Source organism: Homo sapiens, chromosome 6 (assembly GCF_000001405.40).
Source record: "Homo sapiens chromosome 6, GRCh38.p14 Primary Assembly".
In the NCBI taxonomy this organism is placed as follows: Eukaryota; Metazoa; Chordata; class Mammalia; order Primates; family Hominidae; genus Homo; species Homo sapiens.
In genome coordinates this window covers 125,360,907-125,387,494 of record NC_000006.12, presented here as the reverse complement: position 1 = coordinate 125,387,494, position 26,588 = coordinate 125,360,907, and the positions used below count along the sequence as shown (strand labels likewise).

At 37.5% G+C, this 26,588-nt stretch overlaps 1 long non-coding RNA gene across 5 annotated transcripts in view; it reads left to right on the top strand.

Annotated features, from left to right (window-relative positions):
- Positions 1–17,458, top strand: part of LOC102723341 (uncharacterized) — a 75,143-nt gene extending 57,685 nt beyond the window's left edge. For 2 of the 5 annotated variants that reach the window (NR_187740.1, NR_187739.1), the window contains 3 exons: positions 13,174–13,356; positions 14,085–14,228; positions 16,794–17,458. This is a non-coding gene — a long non-coding RNA (uncharacterized LOC102723341). Of the gene's footprint in view, positions 1–5,864; positions 6,164–13,173; positions 13,357–14,060; positions 14,229–16,793 lie in introns of those variants that run through there. The other 3 variants (NR_187743.1, NR_187742.1, NR_187738.1) reach the window with 2 other exon arrangements.
- The last annotated feature ends 9,130 nt before the right edge of the window (positions 17,459–26,588 follow it).

The following is a 26,588-nucleotide window of genomic DNA, read 5'->3' as shown; positions in this document are numbered from 1 at the left end:
ATTCATGTTGTAAATTGTAAAGCAACTGCTAATAAAATGAAAACAAATCTAACAGAAGACAAGAAATAACTAAGATCAGAGCAGAACTGAAGGAGACAGAGACACGAAAAACCCTCCCAAAAATCAATGAATCCAGGAGCTGGTTTTTTGAAAAGCTCAACAAAATAGATAGACCATAAAAATCCTAGAAGAAAACCTGGGCAATACCATTCAGGACATGGGCATGGGCAAAGACTTCATGTCTAAAACACCAAAAGCATGGCAACAAAAGCCAGAATTGACAAATAGGATCTAATTAAACTACAGAGCTTCTGCACAGCAAAGGAAAATATCATCAGAGTGAATAGGCAACCTACAGAATGGGAGAAAATTTTTGCAATCTACTCATCTGACAAAGGGCTAATATCCAGAATCTACAAGGAACTTAAACAAATTTACAAGAAAAAACAAACGACCCCATCAAAAAGTGGACAAAGGATATGAACAGACACTTCTCAAAATAAGACATTTATGCAGCCAACAGACATATGAAAAAATGCTCATCATCACTGGTCATTAGAGAAATGCAAATTAAAACCACAATGCGATACCATCTCATGCCAGTTAGCATGGCGATCATTAAAAAGTCAGGAAACAACAGATGCTGGAGAGAATGTGGAGAAACAGGAATGCTTTTACACTGTTGGTGGGAGTGTAAATTAGTTCAACTATTGTGGAAGACAGTGTGGCAGTTCCTCAAGGATCTAGAACTAGAAATACCATTTGACCCAGCAATCCCATTACTGGATATACACCCTAAGGATTATAAATCATTCTACTATAAAGACACATGCACATGTATGTTTACTGCAGCACTATTCACAATAGTAAAGACTTGGAACCAACCCAAATGTCCATCAATAATACATTGGATAAAGAAAATATGGCACATATACACCATGGAGTACTATGCAGCCACAAAAAAGGATGAGTTCATGTCCTTTGCAGGGACATGGATGAAGCTGGAAACCATCATTCTCTGCAAACTATCACAAGAACAGAAAACCAAACACCACATGTTCTCACTCGTAAGTGGGAGTTGAACAATGAGAACACATGGACATAGTGAGGGGAACATCACACACTGGGGCCTGTAGGGGTGGGGAGCTAGGGGAGGGATAACATTAGGAGAAATACCTAACGTAGGTGACGGGTTGATGGGCAGCAAACCACCATGGCACGTGTATACCTATGTAACAAAACTGCACGTTCTGCACATGTACCCCAGAACTTTAAGTATAATAATAAAACAAACAAAAGTAAATGAAAACAAAAAAATATGATGATAAACCAGAAGCCAGTAGAGGAGATGAAATAAAATACTAACATGTACTCAATCCAAAAAAAAGGAAGAAAAAAAGGGGAAGAGACTAGAGAGAATCTGAAACAAATAAAAAATTACAAAAAATTACAAGGTAGCATATTTATAAACAATGTAGCAATTACTGCATTATATGTAAATGAAATAAACTGCCCAATCAAAGATAAAGTTCACCAGATTAGATTAAAAACCAAGGCCCAACTATAAGTTGCTTAAAAGAGACATACATTAGATGTAAAGACAAGAATAGTTTAAAATTAAAGGGTGGTAAAATGTATGTCATGCAAACATGAATTTAAAAAGAAAGTTGTGCCTATTCCATGTTCATTGAAGCATCATTCACAATAGCCAAAATATAAAATTAACCTAAGTGTTCATTATTGGATGAATAGATAAAGAAAATGTGGTATATATGCACAATGGAATAACTATTCATCTTTTAAAAAGTAGGAAACCATTTGCAACAACATGAATGAACCTGGAGTATATTATATTAGGTGAAACAAGACAGGCAAAGAAAGAACAACAAATACCATATGATCTCACTTACATGTGGAGTATAAAAGTGTCAAACTCATAGAAACAGAGTTAAATGGTGGTTACCAGAGGCTGAGGCATGGTTCACTGGGGAGATGTCAGTCAGACACAAAATTTCAGTTAGACAGGAGGAATATGTTCAAGAGATCTATTGCACATTATGATGACTACAGTTAATAATATATTGTCGATTTGAAAGTTGCCTATTTAATAGAGTAGATTTTAAGTGTTCACACCAAGAAAAATGGCATGTGAGGTAATGTATATGTTAAATAGCTTAATTCAACTATTCCCCAATATACACATATACCAAAACATTATGCTGCATACCATAAATATATACAATTTTTACTTGTCAATTAAGAAATAGTTAATAGAAATAAAAATTAAAAGATAAGAATAGGAAAAGTAGTTGTGTCCATATTAAGATCAAAGTAGACTTCAGAATGAAAGTATTGATCAAGGGAAACATTTCACAATTTTAAACAGGTCAGTTCATTAAGAGGAGACAGCAATCATAAATGGGTATTCACCTAAAAACAGAACTTCAAAATATATGAAGCAAAGAATGACAGAGCTGAAGGGAGAAGTAGACAAATCCACAATTGTCATTAAAGGTTTTTATACTCCCGTCTCAGTAAATGATTTTTAAAAAATGGCATAAATCAGTAAAGATATTGAAGATTTGAACAATACTGTCAACAAAATCAAATTGACATTTGTAGAATTCTACATCCAGCAACAGTAGAATAAATATTATTTTTAAGTGCACATGAGACATTCACAGAGATAGAGCACTTGTGTAAGCTATAAAATGTCTCAATAAATATTAAATAATTGAAACAGTTCTAAACACGCTTTGAACAAAACAATACTACTTCAGAAGTGAATAAGAAACATATATCTGGAAATCTTCAAAGATTTGGAAATTAAGCAACAAACTTCTATATCACCTATAGATCAAATAAGAAATCTCAAAGAAAACTAACAAATATGTATTTAGACCTGACTGATAATACAATATTTCAAAATGTGGGAATTGTAGACACAGCAGTGCTTTAGAGAAAAATTTATAACTCTAAATGTTCGTATTAGGAAAAAAGGTTTAAAATCAATAATATATGTTTTTACCTTAAGAAGTTATAAAAAGAATGAAATGAAACTCAAATAAGCATAGGAAAGATATAGTAAAGACAAGAATAAATGTCAATGAAATAGCAAACAGACAAACAATAGAGAAAACCAAAGACACCAAAAGCCAATTTTTTGTAGTGATTAATAATATATAGGTAAAGTAATTAGATTGGCTAAGATAAACCGGGAAAAATCCCCAGAAATTTCTAAATTCTAGAATAATGAGACTTTATTACATATTCTATCAACATTAAAACAATAACGAGGAAATATTATAAACAATTCTATGCCAATAAATCAGATAAATTGAAGGGTATGAATTCTAAAAAGTAGAAAAATACATGTAAAAGAGGAGGACATGTGTATCTTTTAGACCAGCAGAAAATGAAAGGGAAAGACTGATAGCTCAGGACCAACTAAGGAGTGTCAGTTGAATGACTTCTCAATAAATTAAACAGTGCATCACTGGCCTACAGGAAAGTGGAAAGGAACTTTCCCTTATAAAAGGAAAATAGAAATTATTTTTCCAAGAGTTAAGACTAAATTTCCTTCTTTAATAGAGAAGCAACTAATTATTGAGATACATTTTTTAAATGCCAAATACGGGTATTAGATTATTTTTTAAAAATACTAGAAAGTTTGTTATTATGTTCAAGTTCAAAAGTGGGTCAGACTGGTACTTTCATCCAGGTTAGACAAAATGTCATATTAGATGATTATATGGATTTCAGTTTGAGGGTGATATTTTTGGAAGGAAAAGGTATTTTTTAGTGGGCATTGGTTTTTTTCAATTCAGTCCCCTAAAGAGGCATATATGGGGTCTTTATGAAAATGAGTTCTGCAAGTATGTGTGTTGAGTGTTCAACAGAATGTTTTCTCAAGAACCACCTTCTATATCCAAAGAGTAGTCACCAAATTCATAAAATGTGAACATGAAGAAAACCTGCCACTATCTCTGTGCTGGAGGGATCTCTTCCACCCAGGGTCAAAAGTGAGCGGTTGCAGGTGTCTGCACGTTTCAGGGAAAGAAGAGTTAAACCCAGCATTCCCTGGTAGCAAAATGAACTCCCTCCCTTTGCTTCTCTCCTCTTCTCTTCTCCAGTCTTATTATCTCCATATCTCCCTGCTCTCAGACTCAATCCATTCTCTTCTCTTTCATATTCTAAACAGCTTTTTTTCCCTGTTGGTTTACTTTCGTTTAGAGTAAATCATCTTACCCACATATGCTTTGGAAGGAAAAAAAACAAAGAGACAGATTACAATATTATGTTCATACTATTACATTTTATTTTTATTTGTAAAGATAGGGTCTCGCTGTGTTGCCAGGGTTGGTCTTAAACTCCTGGGCTCAAACAATCCTTCTGCCTCAGCCTCCCAAAGTGCTGGGATTATAGGCGTGAGCCACCAGGCCTTTTCTTATTATTATATTTTTTATATATGCATAGAAAAATACCTAGAAAGATAGACTTAAGTTAGTCATGGCTTCCTATGGATATTAGGGTTATGAGCGAATATTCCTTTGTTTTTCTTTCTGTATTTTTACTTATCTATGTTCTCTATTTTTCTAAAATAAGTATACATTTTTTAAAAAATTAAAAATCCAAAGCTTTAAAAATCAACTAAGAGATCACTAACATTGGGATAATCCATATATGTCTTTCTTTTTCTTTTTCTCTCTCTTTTTTACTTAGCTGAACTCTCATTTTTCTAGAATAAGCATACTTTTTTAATTTAAAAAATCAAAGGCTATAAAGAATGAACTAAAAAGACATCAAAGGAATTTTTCTATTTTGAATTCTAGCTGTTTCATGGAGAGTGAAAAGACAAATACCTGTAAATAATGTCTGAAATATAAATATATTATAAAAGAGTGAAGGACTTGATATAGCCTTAGAATATGAAATAGATAATTGAAGTCCCAATCTCTTTGACTGGCTCTAAAATCACATACATTTTATTGTCTTGCCACTGTGCTTAGCTGTTGGAGAGTTTTATACCAATAACGGCATGACTAATTTGATGAAGATCTTAGGAAGTAGGGAAACAAAAAATATCTATGTGGCTGACATATGGGAAATCATATGAAAAATATGAATTTCCTTTTCCCAAAAAAGTTGTCAATAGAGGACAGGTCAAATTTCTTTAGTTAGCTCACTCTTATTGATCATATAACATGTACCCGGGACTGTACTAGACACTTAATTTAATTCTTAGAACACTATGAGTGAGGTAAAACTATTGCTTCCATTTTTCAGAACAGAAAATTGAGGCAACAACATCAAGCAGCTAGTAAGTAAAAAACTGGGATCAAATCCTGGCAGTCTTTCTCTTAACTACTGTTCCACTGCTTAGGGAAAGTTTAGCCAGACTTTGGTCCTTATATGACAATAGATGAGATGGTGGTTGAACTACCATTGTGTGTTAGACAAAATTTATGAAAAATATACAAAGAACCCATTTCATTTCAGAGAATATAGTCATAGGTGTGAAAGAAACTTTAAGATAATGGCAGTTCTTGCCTTCCAGCAGGTGAATACCTGTTTCTTACATGATCATCTGTTGTCTATTCAGTTCTAAAATACCTAATGATACAGAATTCTTTGTGGAGTGCTGCAGAAGGCAGGCTCTAAGTTGACTCCCAATGGCCCTCACTTCCTAACATTTACACTCTTGTATAATCCCCTCTGCTTGAGTGTGGGCTGCACATGGCCACTGGCTTCTGACATATGGAAGAGGGCAATAGGGATGGGATGGGATGTCACTTCCGAGATGAGGTCGGAAACACTATGACTTCTATCTTGCCCATTCCCTCTCGCTCTCTTTCATTCTCTAGCTTACTCTGAGGGAGGTCTGAATGCCATATTGTGAGCGGCCCTGCTGAAAGACCCATGTGGCAAGGATCTGAGATCATTGGCCAACAGGCTGCAAAGAGTCCTACCAACAGCCAGGCTGGTGTTCTTGGAAGTGGATCTTCTCCTACTCTCCTACTTGAGATGACTGCAGCCCCAGCTAACACTTCGATTGCAGCCTTGTTAAGATATCACGGGCCAGACACACCCAGCTAAGTTATGCCTGAGTTACTAGCCCACAGAAATGATAAGATAATAAATATTTGCTGTTTTAAGCTGCTAAGTTTTGGGTTAATTTGTTATACAACAATGGATAACTAATACAAGTGCAGTCATTGATCTCATTGAACACACCCGTAATTCTTTGGAAAAATGTCTACTTTCTCACCAAACTAAAATCCATTAATTCCAGTAGTTAGGTGTTTGGCAATGCCTTTAAAACGATGCATAGAAGTACATGGCCAGGTCTTTAAAATTGCGTTGCTAGACTGAAGAAGAGCTGTCTGACTTACTGGGCTTCCCACGTTCCTGCCTTCAGTTCCTGGGTTAGTGTCACAGGTTGCGGATTTTCCACTCCATCTCCCAGTCATGTCTCTGGCACTTCCCCCGCTTGGCTCCTAGTAATCAACTTTGGCTGACCTCTAACTCTCCACCTCCTGGACCACAAAATAAACCCAATGCTCTGATCATAGCTCCTCTGCAACTATGTTTACTCCTTGGTTTGGGATCTGCCCAGACTCTCATTACGCCTGCCATAGCATTATCCCTCTGTCCTGTACCTACGGATGAAGCAAACCATTGATTTCTCCAACTATGCTAAGTAAGAGCAAGTCATATTGTAAGTAATTTAATAATATAGAATTTCTAGAGTTATAAAATAATGAAGCAATTTTATAAAAACTATCTTTTTAACAGGTTAAAAAATAAAGCAATGTCATCATTTCCATTAAATTTTGAACAATAGAAGGCAAGCACTACTCATTTCTAAAAAGAAAGCTTGCGCTTTTGAGGATGAAAAGGTTTGAGTTAATTGTAAACCATGTAATCATATGGTTATTTTTTAGCTTTAAACTAATAAAATAATGGTGCCTTCTTATCACGGTAGGCAGTGCGTCAGTCTCATAAACTAATACAACATTTTGCTCTACAATACATTTGAGGTGTTTTCTACATCAAGAATTTGCCTCACACTGACAAAATAATTGTGCAACATATATTCGTTGAAAAGCTATAAAAGACAGGACACTGGGCTGGGCTTTATGAGAGCACAACAAAAATGAAATTAGAAAAGTTGGGGAGAAATATTTTTTAAAACTTTCCCTCCAATTCCCATCTCTCCCGTGAAATATGTTGGAAAAATATTTTTCTTCCTTGCTTATATGGCACCCGAACTGTCAATCTCTGAATACCAAAAATTAAAAATTTCTGGAAAAAAATCATTTTATATAACCTACTTTTGTTCTTCAAACTAAAAAAATCATTTTAGATTTGCTTTAAAACTACTAAAACTTATATTTTGTATATATTCCAACTTTCTTAAATGGTCAAGGATCTTAAAACATTTATTTCCTGCTTCTAGAATTTCAAAAAATCTTATCTTACTCTTAGACTTACTCAATATGCACATATATGAGAGCATTTAAAGCAAGTAATATCTGACAAATTAGTGATGTTTTAGAGCATCTCCAGTTCACTACCTTTTACTCCAAGAATGTCAAGTTCTTGAGAGAAGAAATTTTCATCTGTTTTGTTCACTACTATATCTCCAAGGCCTGGGACAGTGAATGCACAGCACATAGTAGGTGCTCAGTAAATTATGTGTTAATCGAAGGGATGACTGCACACTTTGGGAGAACGGGGTTGGGATTTTGCTAACATTTTTACTCTCACTATCCTGCCATCATGTGTAGATGAATGTGGAGTAGATACTCTTTCCTGCTGATATAATGATTCCAACTTTCAACTCCTGTAAAAGAATTATATTTTGCTTTAAATAGAAATAAATGTGAAAATATTCTCAAAGGCCTGAACTCAAAAGGAAGAAAAAAACCCTTTCCCAACCTGTTATTTACCTTAATCTTCTTTAGAGTGAGTCTTTGCGATCCTCAGTCCCTTAAGCACTTTCTAAAGATGAACTAGATCAGATTCAGGAAGATGAAAGGAAGTCAAAGCCTCAGATTAAAAAACTAGCTAACGCCCAAATAGTGGCGCTGGGCTGCAGTGTGTGCACGCAGGATAACAGCAAGTTACTCTTAAGAAGCTAAAAGACATTTGCTTGTTGGGTCTTATTGTGGCTTTCTTTCCTCCTTTGTTCCTTCCCTCTCCTCCCCTACTTTTCTTTCATCCCCCCTTCTTTCCTCCCTCTTTTCAGTCTTTCATCCTGATCTCAGGGCTTTCTAAGAAAATTGGAACCTTTTGGGCAGGGCATTTCTTCCCATATGTTATATTCCACTGTAAGACACACACATAGAAATCAGTACTGGATTACTTTTCTCTGGAATTTACTTCTAGAAAAGAAGAATGATTTTTTTGTTAAATGGCTAATGTCAGGATTTTTTTTCTCCAAAAACAACTTTCAATTTTTATCTTTAGATTGGTACACACTTAGGGCAAAAATCTATCCTTTCCTTTCTTCTATAACCATATCCACACTTCCTGAACAGTAAGAATTAGTTTTCATAATTTGGAAATACAAATTTATATATTTCTTCAACAGTTTACAAAGATCCCATTTTAATCCTCACAATAACCCTATACAATTATAACTCAATACAAGGAAAGAAAATATTATTACTACCCCATAGGGAAGTCCCTGCATTTCGCTCATAAATAAGCAAAAAACATCTTGAAAATCACATCTGATGTTTGTTGAAATTTCTGAGGCAGTTAGATGTGGGTATGAACCAGGGAATGTGTTTTCTTTGAATTCCGTAGCTCTTCTACTCATTTCTTTATATTCTTTTTATTTCTTAACCATATGTTTTTGTACTGTATTAATGAAAAACTGTGGGATCCCTTGCTGGGGGGATTAGACTTGAGGGAACTTGTTCTGTGTTTAGGGAGGGAGAGGGAGTGCTTTCTGCCTCATCTTTCTATTGTGCCCATCACGTTTCTTGGTGCCAATTCTGGGGAGGGTATGAATTGGTCATAATTGATTCTATTATAACAAGAACATGCTTTCTTTAGTACCAATACTATTTTTATTTGTTTAAATGTAGCAAGGTTTATGTTATTTGATCACGTTAAATTAAATGAAAATTATTATGCCTTGAGAAACAAATTTTAGCAAAATGTATAGAAGTTATTTCTAAATTCTTTAAATATAAAATGTTAATGAGAATCCACTCAGTGCTGAGACACAAGGGGAGTACTTAAATGAGGTTGAAAAACTTTCAGTTCTTTTTGGAGGGTTATGATTTTATTTAAATTCTTGTGATCCCTCAAGTAGCTCCTTCTGCTGTTCTTCCCTATTTTTCTCTGTCCTTACCTCTCCTCTTCAGGGTAATTTGAGAAGGCGAGTAAAGGAAAAGAAACATTATTCTAATTCTCCACTAAAATTCCATCCACATTTCGCTCCCTACTAATCTCCCAAAGAGAACAGCGTTAGCTCAGTCCCTGTTTTCACCAAGACATCTCTATGATGCTATCTGACCTCTTGCTTTCCAGATGTCATTGGAAGTGAAACCATATGTGGTTTTCTAATGACTCAGATTCAGCCCCTCTTCCATGAGAAGTCAGCCTGAGCAGCATGGGGGCCCGTATCCCTCATAAGAAAAGGAACATGAGATAAAACTCAGTCACTCCTCTGCTTTGCCCAAGAAGAAAGGGAGGGGAGTTGCGCCACATCTTGTGGGGTGGCAAAATATTTCTCCTCCAGTGTAAACATTGCGCATCCTCTTTCTCAGGGCCAGCAGCCTCCGTTGTTTGTTGTTGCTGTTGTTTGTGTTTAACATAGCCAGCTACAAGCTTCTACTGATGGCAAGAGCTTCCAGGGAGGCTGTGGAATTTTCAGTACTGCGAAGACACTGGCCTGTGAGATCCTGAGATCTGGTTTACAGTAAAGCCCCATATTCTTCTATTTATTCCTTTACTCTTTAGAAAGTTCATACCAAAGCAGCTAGCTCACTGCTTGGTTTTTTAAAAAAACTTTTTTAAACACCAGTCTCTCACATCTCCACAGTTTCCTTTGTGCTTTTAGCCCCTCATTAGTCTCACCACCTGGTCAAATCATAGGCACTTCCTTCTATTCTTTCTCCTTGATGGACTGTTTCAAAGCCATCACCCCTTCGTCTTTGTGTTTTCCCACTGTTTTCATTTCTACTGTTTTTCAAAGTGACTTTATTTTTCGTAGAGATAGGGTGTTGCTATTTTGCCCAGGCTGGTCTCGAACTCTTGGCCTCAAGCAATCCTCCCACCTCAGTCTCCTAAAGTGCTAACATTACAGGGGCGAGCCACCACAACCTGCCAGGAGTGACTTTTTACTTTTTAGTTGATCATTTACAATGGTTTTTAGGATCATATTAATTACTCACCTTCCCTTTTTCTCTGCATAGCTCAACACTGATCAAGGATGGTGGTCTTCAGCCCTTATTATGGTTCCATCAGCCTTTGACCGTTTTTTCCTTGGCTCTTCAATTACATATGGGACTCGAGGTCTAAACTGACCCTCATCTCATTTTCCCAAAGTCAAAGTTGCTGCAAGATCTTGCTAATAAAACATTGGCTAAGCAATGTGCTATCACGCAGTGTCATCTTTTTATTTAACACAACTTGGCTTTTCTAGCCATTTTGTTGTCTTATTGCTTCCATATTAGCTGTCTCTTTGAAAGAGAGCTTTCCTGACTTCCCCAAAGAAACAAAACAGTGTTCTAGGAAAAGCACTGTGAAAACTCATATTCTAATTTCACTCCTCAATGATTCATTGAGTGTAGCACCATGTTAGAGGTATAAGGATGTTGCTGAATGATCTTCAGAGACTGGATTCTCTTGCTGAGGAAATTCTCTTGTGTCAAAGTAACCAAAGATACAATGATCTGTTTAGTTAATAAACTCATTTGTTCCCCCCACTCTTTCAAGACAACTCGTGAAAATATTGGGCAACATTTTCATCCCATAATATATAATATCCCACCACACCACCCAACACCACAAACCCATCTTAACATCGGTATTCTTTTGAATCATGAAGAGTTCCACAAAGTAAACAGACAGGTTCCTATAACCCTTGTCTATTAGGTGGAATTTTTAAGACAAGGAGCCAACCAATATTCTTTCCCTCCACCTTCTTTCTTAGAGTGAGAACTGTTACTCTCTGGGCCACTTGGCCCATGTTGAATGATTCTCTGAGATAAGTTGACACTTTTCACAAGATCTCAAACCAGGAGTGCTTAGACGATAAACTGGAGTGGAAAGTATAATAGGAAGAGAGCTTTCACAGAAATTGGAGGCATTTCCATTGTTCAGAGGTGAAATACCCTGTTTTGTCTCTGGTTTAAATTTTTTACTGCCAAAGGTCACATGATGCAACAAGTCATGCAGGCAGTCTTCAAGTTGCCCAAGGGACAGAGCTTATTCTCTATGAAGTGATGTCCAGGCAAAATGCCCTTTAGAAGTTTGTGGTTTCCACAGCAAGAGGCTGAATTGTGTTTGCTGTCTGTAATTCCAGCTCATAAAAGCATGCAAAAAGATTATCCAAATCCTAGAGTTAAGGAACTATATTAAAGACAGATTTGCTTTGAACATCAGTGGCCAAAATGATGGAGAAGATGAGAGAAGACAGAGGTGGAGTAGAATTAAAATTTCTATCTATGTATTATGTGTCTTTAAGATTAAATCATTATTATGATTTCATTCTGCTTTTGTACTCAGCAGATAACTTTTGATCATGTCTGCAAAGAGACAAAACCTGAAACCTGAAAAATGGCAAATTAACTAAGAACCAGATATTCCTGTTACTGTTGAAATAATTCTGATATTGTCATTTTCTGATATTTTCACTAGAGTTTCGAGGTGCTCTTTAATTGAAGGCAGTAAAAAATCTTTGGTTGTTTGGTAATACCTATTATAGTTCCAATTGGAAATATCCTTCAGCATAGTATTTTCACCTTTGAGAATTTGCCCTAAGTATAAGTATACTTACAATATTGAAATAACATATGTTCAAGGTTACTCATAAGTGAAAAAATACAAAACATATTCTGATATATCTATTTAAGGAAATAGCAGACAGCTGCAAAAAAATGGCAAAATGCATCACTTATTCGTGTGAAAAGATTTCATATCGCTAAATGAAAAATGTCAAAGGAAAGGACAGTGAGTTTAGTATAATATGTTCAAAATAAGAGAGGAAGGAAGGAAGGAAGGAAGGGAGAGAGGAAGGAAGGAATAAACAGAGGAAAAGAAGGAAGGAGGGGAAAGAAAAAAGGAAATCAATCAAAGGAAGGAGGAAGGAATGAATGGAGAGAAAAAGGAAGAAGGGAAGGAAGGGGGAGAAAATGAAGGGATAAAAGAATAACATTTCCTTGAATATTCAGAAAATATCTCTGGAGGACTTGTCTCTTGGGACAGCAACTGTCAGCTGGGGTCATGTACTTTGTACCTTTTAAATATTTTGAAATGTTTTGTACATTAAAACAATGTTAAGCCAAGTGAATAGATTACTTGTTTTAATGTAAATGTGAGAAAGTTGCCCTACTTCCCTGTTTCCCATTAAGGATCTGGGAGTGGGCTGTGGCGTTTAATCTAATGCAGAATAAAGCACGAATATGAAAATGGCTATTTTTTTCTTTCATCTTGATAATTAGACTTTTTTTTTTTTTTTTTTTGACAAGGTCTCACTGTATTGCTTAGGCTGAATTCTCTCCCCTCAGCGTCCCCAGTAACTGGGAGTAGCGGCATATGCCATCACACTGGCTTATGCTGCCATTTGTCGTGCAGCGGAATGGGTGGGGTGGGGGGTATGGGCATTTGAAAATGTGTTTAAAGAAGCAGCTTCAAATGTCCTTCCCTTTGGGTGGTAAATAGTACGGGCAGTCAATCAGAAAAGATACTAATAAGCTGAAGAAGTGACAATACTACGAAGAAGTAAACAGCAAATTAGTGGTTTAAAAATTCTTATAAGAGGTAATCACATAAAACTGTTGAAGCTTAGGCAGTCTGAAAATAAGGCACATATCTGCATCTATGTGCAACTGAGTATAAATTGAATCGACTTCTCCTGTAGTTCTTTTTTAATATGTCTATGATGCCATGCAGCACCGTGCTATCTTTATCTATCTACACATTCTTCTGCAGTGTGAATCCCTGGAAGGCAAGATCGCCATTCTGGTCTCTTGTGGATATCAATGCTGATCTCAGCTTCTGATGCACGGCAGTCAATTAATAAATGATTGTTGCCTGAAAAACTGAGCCCCAAAACAATATTACAAGTTTAATATCAGTAAAGGATTTAATGCTTTCTAACATGAAGATACCAGAGTAAGTGTTTACAGTATTTTTCCACTAAATTCCTTTTACTAAGGCAACTACACGTTTCTAAGAAGTAAAAATGTCTAAAACTATAGCATGATTTATTTATGCACTTGGTAGCAAGTATATTTTAGAATGTAAATATTTGCTCTGTAAATTTTTTTAACATAAGCAAGTAAAAAACATGTAAGCTTGATGAGTTCCTTGCGTTGACCTTCAGCAATATTGAACATGAACATTTTGCCATTTATTTGTCAACTGATGTCACTTTACACTTTATTTGACACAATTAATGAAATGATTTAACAAATATAGAAAGATAAAGAGAGCTACCAGAGATAATGCTAGTAGTCACACTCTTTCTACAGTTTAGCGGCTGTGTTATCAATGTTTTTATTGTACATTTATTGTACTCAAAAACCACAGAAGATTTTTTTCTGATCAACTAAATTTATAGTTTAAAAAAAGGAAAATATTAAAAACCATCTATACTCTTCTGTTTTTGGTAATTGGGTATAATCTCAAACACAAATTAGCATTTGGGGCTTGATTAAATAAATATTTCTTTCCTAATTTAGCAGGTCTAAAAGTTTAGTTCTTTAAATTGAAACTTTGAATTAGAAAAATACAGAAAGTCATGAGTGATTGTTTGATTATGGGTTTTTTCCCTATCTTATTCTTTCTCCCTTTTCTTGTCTTTTAAAACAAAACAGTCTTTTCTATTCCTGGACTTTTAGAGTTGCTGATTTTTGTATAACCCAGAGATGGATTTAAATGCAGAGTGTATGAACTTCTTCATTCCTGAGGGAGGACTTATGATTTCATGAGAAATGCCCTAGGAAAGGGGCCGGGGAGACTGATGGAGAAGAAGAGTTTGGGAGGTAAGAATGGCTTTCCGTGTGTGCTTTGCAGCCAGACTGCCTGAGTCCCTCTAGTCATGTGGCCCTGGATAAGTTCTTCAACCTCTCTAGACTTAATTTAAAACTTCAGAAAATGAGGAAAGGGCTGTGTGTCTTCAATTCTAAAACATCGTTAATTGTAAATGCACTATTAATTTATATTTAACAAAGAAAGCAGAATTCAATGACTTGTCTGTTTTGGAGGATGCATCTTAATTTCAGAGATGTCAGCATGTGTGTGGGGTGCATATTAGAATCCCTAAAATGCAGTAAAGATACGTACCTCGTAGAATTGTGAGGATAAAATGATCGAATGAATGTGAAGAGTTAGCACATCTCAGAGTGCAATAAGTGCCCCATTACTATTAACTATTTTTACTATTATTATCCTAAACTTGATTAATGATTTGTCTTTGAGGTAGAGTTTAACTGGACTGAAAGCAATCTGGAGCACCGGCAAGGGGCAGAAGGAGATTGAAATGTAAAACACGTAGAATGGAGACTGATTTCATCTCTCTTGATTCTAAGCTCATTTGCAGCCATATGTGTATCCATTCATAGATGGTTATGGAAATAATCACAAGGTTTAAACTATAGAGTAATTCTTACATTGAAGTTCTACCAATGTTGATGCTATTGCTGCAAATGGGGATTTTTTCGTTCTCACTTGTCATTTCTTAAAGAGTGTTATTTAAACGTCCGTAATGGTGACAGAAAATCAAATTTTAAACATTATTGTGATTTTTATATAGGCTCAAAGTTATATAGAAACAAAACATATACGAGAATGAAGTTAATCTAGGTAAAAGCATTATAAAATAACCAAATAATTTCAACAGAAAATAATAACAAGCCCCATTACACCCCCATAGTTTTGTGCTTGATTAAAATAAAACAAATCTGTGAATTAATGGAGCTAGTTTTCTTGAACAGCTCATGTTTTTTGTTGTTGTTGTTCTTTTTGAGACAGCAATTTTGTGGGGTTTTTAAATTTTTTATTGATAGATAATAGATGTACATATTTTCGAAACACAGGCTTTAACTTAATACATTCATGTGATTTATAAAGATCAAATCAGTGTAATTGGGATACCCATCACCTTAAATATTTGTCTTTTCTTTATTGAGTAGCTCATACTTTTTATTTTTTAAAAAACTCCTCAGGTTCAACTTTTACACTGTTGGTGGGACTGTAAACTAGTTCAACCATTGTGGAAGTCAGTGTGGCGATTCCTCAGGGATCTAGAACTAGAAATACCATTTGACCCAGCCATCCCATTACTGGGTATATACCCAAAGGACTATAAATCATGCTGCTATAAAGACACATGCACACGTATGTTTATTGCGGCATTATTCACAATAGCAAAGACTTGGAACCAACCCAAATGTCCAACAATGATAGACCGGATTAAGAAAATGTGGCACATATACACCATGGAATACTATGCAGCCATAAAAAAGGATGAGTTCATGTCCTTTGTAGGGACATGGATGAAATTGGAAACCATCATTCTCAGTAAACTATCGCAAGAACAAAAAACCAAACACCGCATATTCTCACTCATAGGTGGGAATTGAACAATGAGATCACAAGGACACAGGAAGGGGAATATCACACTCTGGGGACTGTGGTGGGGTCGGGGGATGGGGGGAGGGATAGCAGTGGGAGATATACCTAATGATAGATGACACGTTGGTGGGTGCAGCGCACCAGCATGGCACATGTATACATATGTAACTAACCTGCACAATGTGCACATGTACCCTAAAACTTAGAGTATAATAAAAAAAAAATTAAAAAAAAAAAAAAACTCCTCAGGTTCAAAGTGTTTAATACATATATCAGTAAGGACAAAGGTGTATTTATTATATTTCTGTTATTTTAATAAAACATAAAATGTTGTATACATTACCTTACTTTTTCATATAATGATATTAAGACAATAAATCAATGAAGTCCCAAGTTTCCTGGGAATCAGAGCACTTGCATTCAAGTTCCGCTACCTGGTTATGCTATTTAATCTTTCTTAAGTTTGCTCCTTTAGCCCTCTCTATATCAAACTTTAGAATTCAAGAGTTTAAAGTGAGAAAATATGATTTATCTGAATAAATGGCCCAGGGCCAGGTTTATGTAAGAACGTATTTCATGTTTTTGTCCAAATAAGCTCTCAGGCTTTGAAACTTCCTTTTATAAAGATGAGTGCTATTTATTCCAGCTAAGAAAATTCTTCCCCATTTATCCATTGTCTGTGAGGGGATCATGTGTGTGCGATGCTTTAAGAATCCTAGCTCAGGAACAGAAGTTAACACTCCACACCCCACGCTTACTTGCCAAATACACTCTTTTGTTTTATTCCAAGTTGAAACACTTCCCAGGGGTCTCAAAGTTATTTCCACTGACATTTTTGAGATGGCTTGCTTTCTGCCCATTTTGCTGTCATCTGGGGGTTAAGGTCCATGCTTGGCATTTTTCTGCCTCTTAAAGCCACTTAGCAGTCTCAAGGGTAGATGATGTTCTCTTTTATTTGGTACCATTGGCTTTAGGGAAGCCCCAAGGACCATCTGCCCCATCAGAGTCACATGCAGAGGGTCCTGCTCCTGCCGTTGGAAGTTGGCTTCCTGAGCTGCTGAACGTGCCAGTCCTGCTGACCCACTCTCAGATATCACAGGCACCCGCTGTGTCTGACAGAGACCTTTCTGCAAGTACACGTGCAGGTCTGCTCTGCAAAGGCGTTATCATCTGCAGATTATTGCACAGAGTGGCTACGAGCTGTGGTGTGATCCTGTCACAGAGAGAGCCTGGTCACGTTTTCAGAACAGCAGGAAACAGGTACACCTGTAAGCTTATACTTATCAGATTTAAAAATAAAACAAAAAATCCATGCTATTCCATGAAAATCGGACTCAAATAAACTTAGTCACTGATCTGTGAAGTAAATAATCTGATGGTAATGCATCAGTTGACACTTGGGCCTGGGTTTTTAGGCACTAATGAAAGCCAGGGGCAAAATAATTTTTAATCTACCATTATTTCCCTTGATGGTTCGACAAAAGTTCTTGTACTAGAAAGTTTTATAAAACTACTTTCTGAGTGTCCTGTGACATTTCTCTGATGATATAAAAAGTCAATATTTGATAGCTTAAATATCAATATTGACAGAAATATGATTATTTAAATAAAAACACAAATAGTAAAATAATTTTATATGATACTTCTATATATTAGTATTTTTAAAACTCTTTGGAGCAGAGATGAACTTAACATGTGGTAAGTATTAGATATTAAAACCATCACCCACAAGTTGCTTTGGGCTTTCTCCTTTTATATCCTAGTCATTTAAAAAACTTATAGTTTGTGGTCATCCAAATTTCCTTATAGGTTTAAAGTAGGAAAATGCCTATGCTTCATACAAAGCAGCTTTCTTCCTCCTTTTCATAGAAATGTATGGAGTTACAAGAAGACTCTCCTCTTAGGTATTGGAGAAACTTCTTCAATATTATTTACATTTATTTTTTAAAATTCTTTTATGTCTTTAGATTATATTCGGTTTTATTTTCATCTTTTCCTCTCACCTCCATTATAATTAGCTATCTAGTTTTAAAAATATGTACAAAATGTCAAACCTGCAAACATACTACCAAACCAGACCAAACAACTATCCATGATGGATGATTTTCCTTATATTATTTCTCCCTTATTTTTCCATTTTCTAATTTGTCTGTCTTTCCTTGCTTATTAGTTGTCTTCTCTTTTCTCTTAGTGTTTTGATTCCATTATTTAGTTTTTCTAAGAATGTTTATGGTGTCAATCTTCTTCCTAAACCATTATCTTTGGTGGGTAAATCACCGTTCTTTGATATTCTAGTTCTAGAGGCTTCTCATTATATTTTAACATAATCTGCACCCTCGTCCATGCCATTCAGACATTTCCATATTCCCCATGATTTTGCTACCCAAAACTCTTACCATATATATAACCCTGCTAGTCTCGGGGACCCTGTGTTTTGTTCTTCGATTTATAATCATTAGACATACTTCTGATTTCGATTTTCTCAGGATTTCTATTGGGCTATTTCCTATTTTCTTAGGACCTCTCAGAATGTATTTAGCATTTTTCTCTTTCAAATTCAAGTTTGTTTACATAATTTTCCTTCAAGGTAGCTAGCTGCCTGGGTTATTTTCCATATTTAGGTTTCAATTGCCAGCTATTCATCTGTCTGCCAATGTTATTTCACCACCTTGCCCCTTTCCCATTTTTTTTTCTTTGGAGGAGAATCAACTCTTTCATCAACATTCCCAATGAGAAAGTTGAAACACCTCTTTTCACAATGTCCTTTCCTCCTAGTTGAAATAGTAGCAACAACAATAACTCAAAGTCCCTGTAAAGGAAAGCTCTGAACCCATTATCTACAGTCTTTTGCTTCCCTAAGAGGAAAAGTCATTAGGATTCTTCAAAATCTATTCACCCTACCTTTCCAGCAGGCAATAAAACTTGTCAAGATGCCACACTTGAAACTAAAGATAAACTTGTACATATAACCATATGCATATAGATAAATGAGAAAGAATGTAAATAGAAAAAAGAAAAAATGTAAAACCTTATCTAAACAAGACTTGCCATGTGATTGGCAGGCAGAATATTATTTTCATGAAGTTGTTTTTTAACGTGAATCTGTGTAAACCACAAGCATATTCTTTATCACTTGAGATTTAATAGCATACATTGAAAAAATGTTTTTTGTTCTGACACAGATTTTGTATGATAATAACAACAAAGGAAAATTATACTATAAAAAGTGAAACCTTTTGTCTAAATACTAAAAGACATTCAAAATAATTTACCCTTGCAAATTTTTTAATTTTTTACAATCTTTTGACATACTATCTCACAGATTTTCCTAAAAACTTTGTGATGGAATGGGGGTAGTTATTATTATCCTCCAAACGTTTTAAATAATACAAGAAGTGAAAACCCTATAGGACTTGTCTGGCGTCACAAAGGAATTTGAGCTGGAACTTGAACAAGTTCTACTGCAAGTAAAGCCAAGGCTCTCTTCACTCTGGGACTAGGGTAGGATGCTGGCCTTTTTGTTCTTATTCCAGTTTTAAATTGGCATTTCCAGGTGCAAATTCCTTCTTTTCCCCTAACTAGCTATTTATGCTTTGGAAAAGAACTTAACCTGTCTCTGGTTCACTTTCTTCCCTCATAAAATTAGCAGGTGGTTCTCAGTGGTTTCTCTGTTCCTTTAGGCCTTCAGCGTCTCAAATGCAATACAATCAGTGTTTGTCTCTGAATACCAATAACTTTTAACATTTGGCCTCAATTCTATTTTTGCCATTACTTACTCATCTCATGCCCATATCATAGTTTCTTTTCCTGAACTCAGTTCTTGCTTGGAATACATGTTAAGGTTTACTTCCACAAATATGTATCGAACACCTGCTACCTCAGATGATGCGCTATGTACCAAGGTGACAGATCTGAACAAGGAGCATTTCTCCCCATCAAGTTGAGACAACTATCCAGGTATGCAGCACATCAGCTGTTTTCCCCTCCACTTTTCTGCTGGTCCCCAGCTGAGAGAGCCTGCATTTCCTCTCACCATACTCCTTTTTCCATAGCTTATCAAGCTCAATAGACTCCTTATTTATTTATTTATTTATTTATTTATTTATTTATTTATTTGAGATGGGGTCTTGCTCTGTTGCCCAGGCTGGAGTACAGTGGTGGGATCATAGCTCACTGCAGCCTTGAACCGCTGGTCTCAAGCCAACCTCCCTCCTAGGCCTCCTTAATAGCTGGAGTCGTAGGCTCATGCCACCTTGCCCAGCTAGACCCCCTTAAATTCACCCTCAAGCACAATCCTTCTCATCAGGGAATCAGCTTCACTGCTTTTTGTTATCTTTTCCCTTCTCTCACATGTTCTTCCCCATTTTCACTTCAGAATGTCTTCCCTGTTCCATTGGTGATTCACAGTTTCTAACACTCCCAGCTTGCTGAGCCAAACCGCCTTTTTGCCTGAGTAATAAATGTTTGTGCTGAGTCCTGGAGGAATCAAGAGTTCCTTATAAAAGTGAGCAAATGGGAAAAGTAGATGTCACAGCAATCCTGAACTTCTTGTTTTGTTTTTGTAGAGATGGGGATCTTGCCTTGTTGCCCAGGCTGGTCTCCAATTCTTGACCTTAAGCTATCATCTCACTTTGGCCTCCCAAAGTGCTGTCATTACAGACATGAGCCACTGTGCCTGGCCCCAATTTTCTTTTTATTATCTGACTGCCGTGGCAGTGTGGAGAATGAGCAGTTTCATATCAGAACTAGAATTCCTCCATGGAAAGTGCTCCCAAGAGAATTGGACTTCTGAGGATGTGAGTTCAAGTCTCAGCTCTGAGATTTTCTTCCCTAATGACCTTGGGGCAAATAACTTCTTAACATTTCTGTAACGTAGGACTGTTAACAGCATACATGTTGAATTGCTTGTTGAGGTGTAACTCAAATAAGCTATTTTATGTGGAAGTGCTTTGTGAAGGGAGCTAAAGATATTTGTCTCTGAAAGGAGCATGGGGGTGCTGAGTATCTGGAAGATGGGGGAAAGAGCAAGAGGTAGGAGAGAGATTCCGAAAGGGAGGTAAAAGAAGCACAAAGACCAATTCTGCATATTCTGTAGTTTTGCACAGGAGCTCTCTGTAGCCCACAACCACAGAGGTTGCTGCCTTAGCTCCTGCTGCCTGAAATAAAACATCCTGACTCACTGAAAGGCAGCAAGTTGCCCAGTTCAGGCAGATTCACGGAATGGGGACTTGTAGCAACATCATCTTAATTCATGTTCACAACAGGGGAGAATTTTCCTTCTTCAACCCTGTCCAGTGTTCTCTTCCAATTCCATCTCCTGTAGTGAAAATAAAAGAAAAAGAAAAGGGAGTAGTAGTTCTATATCCCTATGTTCTGTCTCTCCTTCTCATGAAGTTTATATTAGTCCATTTTCACATTGCTATGAAGAACACCACATGAGATGGGGTAAATTATAAAGAAAGGGAGTTTAATTTACTCACAGTTCTGCATGGCCGGGGAGGCCTCAGAAAACTTACAATCATGGTGGAAGGGGAAGCAGGTACGTCTTACATGGTGGCAGGAGAGAGAGAGCGAGTATAAAGGAGGAACTGTCAAACACTTATAAAACCATCAAATCTTGTGAGAATTCACTATCACAAGAATAGCATGGAGGAAACCACCTCCATGATCCAGTCACCTCCCACCTGGCCCCTCCCTTAACACCTGGAGATGGTAATTGGAGATGAGATTCTGGTGGGGACACAGAGCTAAACCATATTAAAGTTGTACATGGGGAGTCCTTTTCAAATAACCGTCTTCAGAAGACGCATCTGAGGAGAATGCAGTGGTTACACCGTGCTCCTTTGAATGTCTTTTACCTTTGGTCCCTTTCTTCCCTTTCATCTTCAGTGGTCATCCTAAAGAACTTCAATGTGGTTGTCCTTTTATCCCCTTCTTGATTGTCTGGTTCTCTCTACTGACTCTGTCGTTCCTTACCAGGTGGGACTATTTACCTTACACTAAGATATTTGTTTCTTTCGCGTCCACTGAAATTTGATAGGTTTGCACTCTCCATTCTAAAAACTTTTTTTTTTTTGCCAAAGAATCTTTTCTAGCCTTTTTTTTTCACCAAAGCATCTTTTCTAGCCTTTTTTTTTTTCCTTAAATCTTTTGTATTTAAACTTCAGCCAACATAACGCTATTTCGCCCTCCCCTGTCCCTGGCAGCCACCATTGTACTCTCTGTCTCTGCGAGTTTAATGTTTTTAGATTCCACATATGAGTGAGATCATGCAGTATTTGTCTTCTGTGCCTGGCTTATTTCACTTAGCATAATGTCCACCAGCTTCACCCACGTGACCTATTCTAATACATGTCTCCTCCACAGTTATATTTTTCTGACTAAAACAATCAAAAGTCTCACTCATCCGATTTACATTTTGCAGCATTTCTTTAGTTTCTTCTGGCAACAGTTTGATTTCTGAATAGTCTGGACACAGACAGTTTTTTATCTGCGACCTACTTATAATAATAGTATTGCAAAATCAAGCCAGAAGTTCTCTTCTTTTTTTTCCAGAAAAACTTTCCTAAGCCATCATCTATTACTCTTCTCTTAAAACTGACCTCATAGGCTCTTTTCTGGCCATGGAAATGTCTCTCAGAATTACAGCAAGTGCCAGTATAACCAAAGTTTCTAGTTGTTATCCATGTATAGTTGTCACCTACCTCTTTTTTAGGTCTCACTTGTATTTTGTAGAGTAGTGGAGTTTATTTTTCCTTTTGTAGCACTAAATGAAGCCATATTTCTCTTTGCTCATCTCATTTTCTTTCCAGGGATTTTAGAGAAATCAACTTGTTCAGTAGCAGCCATTATTCAGCACCAGCTGTATGCAAGGCACAGTTCTCTGTGTTGAGAATAAGATGTACAGCATAGTCTTGCCTTCTAGAAAATTATAACCTAGCTGAAGAATCAGATCCTGAATAAGCCATGTGATACGAATAGAATACTGAATTGGAAATTCAGACTCCTGGGAACCATTTCGTTCATACGTTCTGTCCCTAACCTAATTTTGAAAATTTGATGAAGGTTTTCTTGTATGTTCTGTGGAATCTAATCACCACCCCAGTAACAAGGATTTTTGAGACTGACTTGGGTTCAGGAGAATTACAGTGCACCTGAGGGGTCTGGCAACCAGATTACAGTAGGACTGTGCTTAAAAGGATAAATAATCTTAAATGAACTGCCAATGATCAATTGAATTATTATATATGTCTTGTTTATTTTACTAGCTCCTGAAGGAACGTTTATAGTTTACTTATTAGTAGTAAATATATGTGTATGTGAAAGAATCCTATGAAAATATATACGAATATGTATATTGTGTGTATGCTTATATTCACGTTGAAAAGTAATTAACAGGATTTTGTTCTTTAAAATGAATCGTTCAAAACACTAGCCTTCTCCCAGGGGTGGGAGTCACTGATATTTTGCCAAATGGCCCCTGGTTTATGTCGCAGAGGGCATCTGAGTATTGACGAAAAGGGGAAATTGAGCATAAGGGCAGTCAAAGGGGACTGCCTGAGGTTAGAGAGCAGGTGAGGGTCAGAGCCAGGAATAGCCGACAGCAGGATTCCTGAGCGATAATCAGGCAGCCTGACCTCCTGCAGGGTCGCCCTTGGAGACAATGGCAGGCGAGTTTATCAGTCCTCATGCCCTCCAGCCTCTCCTGAAAGAGGGGCTGTGGGCGGCTGGAGGAGGGCAGGACCCAAGGCCTGGAGTTGCGTGAAGGCGGTGGCTGCATTTCTGCCTGGGCATCCCCACCCCCTGGGTGTAGTCAGCAGCAAAAGTCAGCCCTGGCTGTTCCTACGCCTTGACTGCGTACGTCTTTGCAAGAATCGTCCAGGGGCCCTGTTGCTGGCTCTTTGCCTAAGAGCAGTGGGAGGTGCACAAGCCAGCCTGGTGGGAAGACAGGACAGACGTGCGCCTCCCTTTCAGCGCTCGCTGCCCTATCAGTCACTGTGTGACAGACGCATTGTTCTCCCGAGAGGCCGGCAGCTGGACCGGGCGCGCCGGCCACCCACACTCTCCTTCCCGCAGTCGGTGCGAGGGGCTGCGCATCCCCCCGCGGCACAGCCAGGAGGGGGCCTCGGCTAGGTCCCGGGCGCTCCCTGAACGTTTAACAACGCCTGCTAGGAGTGTTTGTCGGTGACGTGAATGAACGAAGCTGGCTGGCTGTGCGGGGAGGCCTTTATTTTTCTTGCCGTGAGGCGGGAGCCTGGGAGCCGTCCCGTGGGACCGGAAAGCAGCAAGAATGTCTGCAGGAGGGAGAAGCGAGTGCAGCCGCAGATAAAGCTCCAGCGCCTGTTAACACTTCTTGGGACTGGGCAGGGCTTGTCCTCTTCTTCTTACCTGGCACGGAAAGACAAAGACAACCCAGTTGGCTTTGGAAGGTTCATGTTACCTCGTTTGTCACTTTGCACGGAAACAATTGGCCTCACAGCAATGGAATCTGCAGTTTCCTCCAGGCAGGAGCTTCTCAGTGTGACTCATGCTCACTTTTCCCGGGAGGGAAGGACCCCGAGTGAAGGAAATTTAATTAACTTTGTAAAAAATGGACGCTTAAATTACATTAGGCAAACGCATTTCTAAATGCCTGCCGAAATTTCCTCTTCCGATCACTTAAAATAACACATGTCAAAAACTGAACTGGGTATTTTCTCTCCTCTCGCTGATTTCTCCGCTCAACTTACTAACAAAAATATTACCATAGTCATCCGGATTTGCAGATCTGAGGTCCTCTTGCCTTTGCTCTCTACCCTGCCTGGCACATCCTACCTGCTATGAAATCCCTTCCGTTACTTCTTCACACCATTTTTCACAGTGGTCTTTTCCTTTGTGTTTTCATGGACACTGTCCTAGCTCAGGCAACGATCTTTCTTCCCCTCACATACAGTTGCAACGGAGAAGTCTGTTTTCTCTGGGTCCCCAAGGCCTCCTGCCCTCCAGTCCAGGGGACATGTTGCTGCCATCTTGTCATAAGCTGATCATCTCAATGATATGGCATGATTTTCTATTCTCTATAGCAAGATGTGCACCTCCTTCGTCTGACATTGAAGGTTCTGCAACATCTTTATTGACCAACTTTACTTGCCTTTTCGCTATTCAAACTTCTTGCTTCAGTCAAAATAACTACCAAAAATTCCCTGAAAATGCCTCATCATTTTTCTGCCTTTGTGCCATGTGATTCATAAGACACTTTTCACCTGTCTATTGAAATTGTATCCATCCTTCGAAGTCCAGGCCAAGTGTCCCTTTAACTATGAATATATTCCCAGTCTCTCAGAGAAAAAGTTACATTTCTTCCCTAGAAATACCTAACACTTGCTTACATGAGTTAGGTATTTCTAGGGAAATTATTTCACATAGTTAATAATTTGTCCATATATCTTATCTGTCCACATCTCCTCTGACATACCCTGAAAAAGGTGGATGAAATGATTAGCTGCTTGCTTAATTGATGCAGCCTTGAAAATACTCATAAAGTGCCCATGAAATGCCCAATAATGTTTGAAACTATTTGTTTATGAATGAGGTACTTAAAGCAAACTAGGGCACATTTTAAAGTGTCAAAGTAATAATCACATCTGTTCCCCAGCTCCTCTCAGTGTTTTCCTTGGCTTTCTTCCTGCCACACCTACTTTTGACCAAGGGCATGCATTTGCGTAGTCCGTAGCCATGGAAGGACTAAGGAGATCAGCTAATATTGGAATACTGGGCTTAGTGGTGCTAGGCAGAAGACAAATGAACCAACCAAACACAAGTAACAAGGGTTTATGGTATGGTCTATAAGCAAAAACATTTAAATCTCAAAGTAGAACCATTTAAGAATACTGAAAAACCTCTTCAGCGATTAGATTTTATTTAATACAAGCAAAGTAAAAAACACGAATGCCTCAATATGAAATGGCTGAAAAAAATTTCCAAAGATTGATGTTCTCCCAGAAATGATTTTTTGAGCTTAATTTGCTTACCTGAACTTTGAGATAAGACAAAATCTAAAGGTCTCTCTTCAAAATGTGTTGTAACCAGAAAGCTCTGCAAACCCATGTGGAACTAAATAGTAGTATTTCTGAGGTTAGGCTGTCTGTGTGCTTTCTGGGCTAGAAGGTCAAACTTGAGTGATATGTGAAGGAGAGAGGAAGAAGCAGTATTGCGCAGTGGTCACAGTGATAACCGTGGTCTCAGGGTCAAAGGCGATGGGAATGCTGCATAGAGAGGGGAGCTGTAAGTAAGGCTTTGCAGAAGAGGAATGAGTGGTTTGACTAAAACAAATAGAGAAATATGCTCTGAGGGCATATCAGGTAGGTTTGCACTGCTAGAGATGAAGGCATGGCCTTGGGTGTGGGAAGAGATAAGAGAAATTAAGTAGAGTGGAGTCTTTGAAAAATATTAGAATGGACACTTGGTTATTTTAATTTTACTGGAGCAGTAAGTAATAATAAAGCTTTCTGTAAAAAGACCTAATCACATTCAGCCACAGTACAGGCCCCATCCATTGATGAGCATTACCAAAAGTGTATGAAGAGATAGGTGAACTAAACAGATATGCTAAAATTTAAGGAGATACCCCTGTTCTTTGGAAACATGGAATTTTGTTTGAAGCTTTTATTAGAAAAAAATCCAATTTCAGTAAAATCAAATGTCAGAGCATTATAGAAAATATCTTCATTTTATGCCCCAGGATTGCTGCTGTTAACAGGTGCGGGTACCTCCAAAGAGTTCTTCTGCAT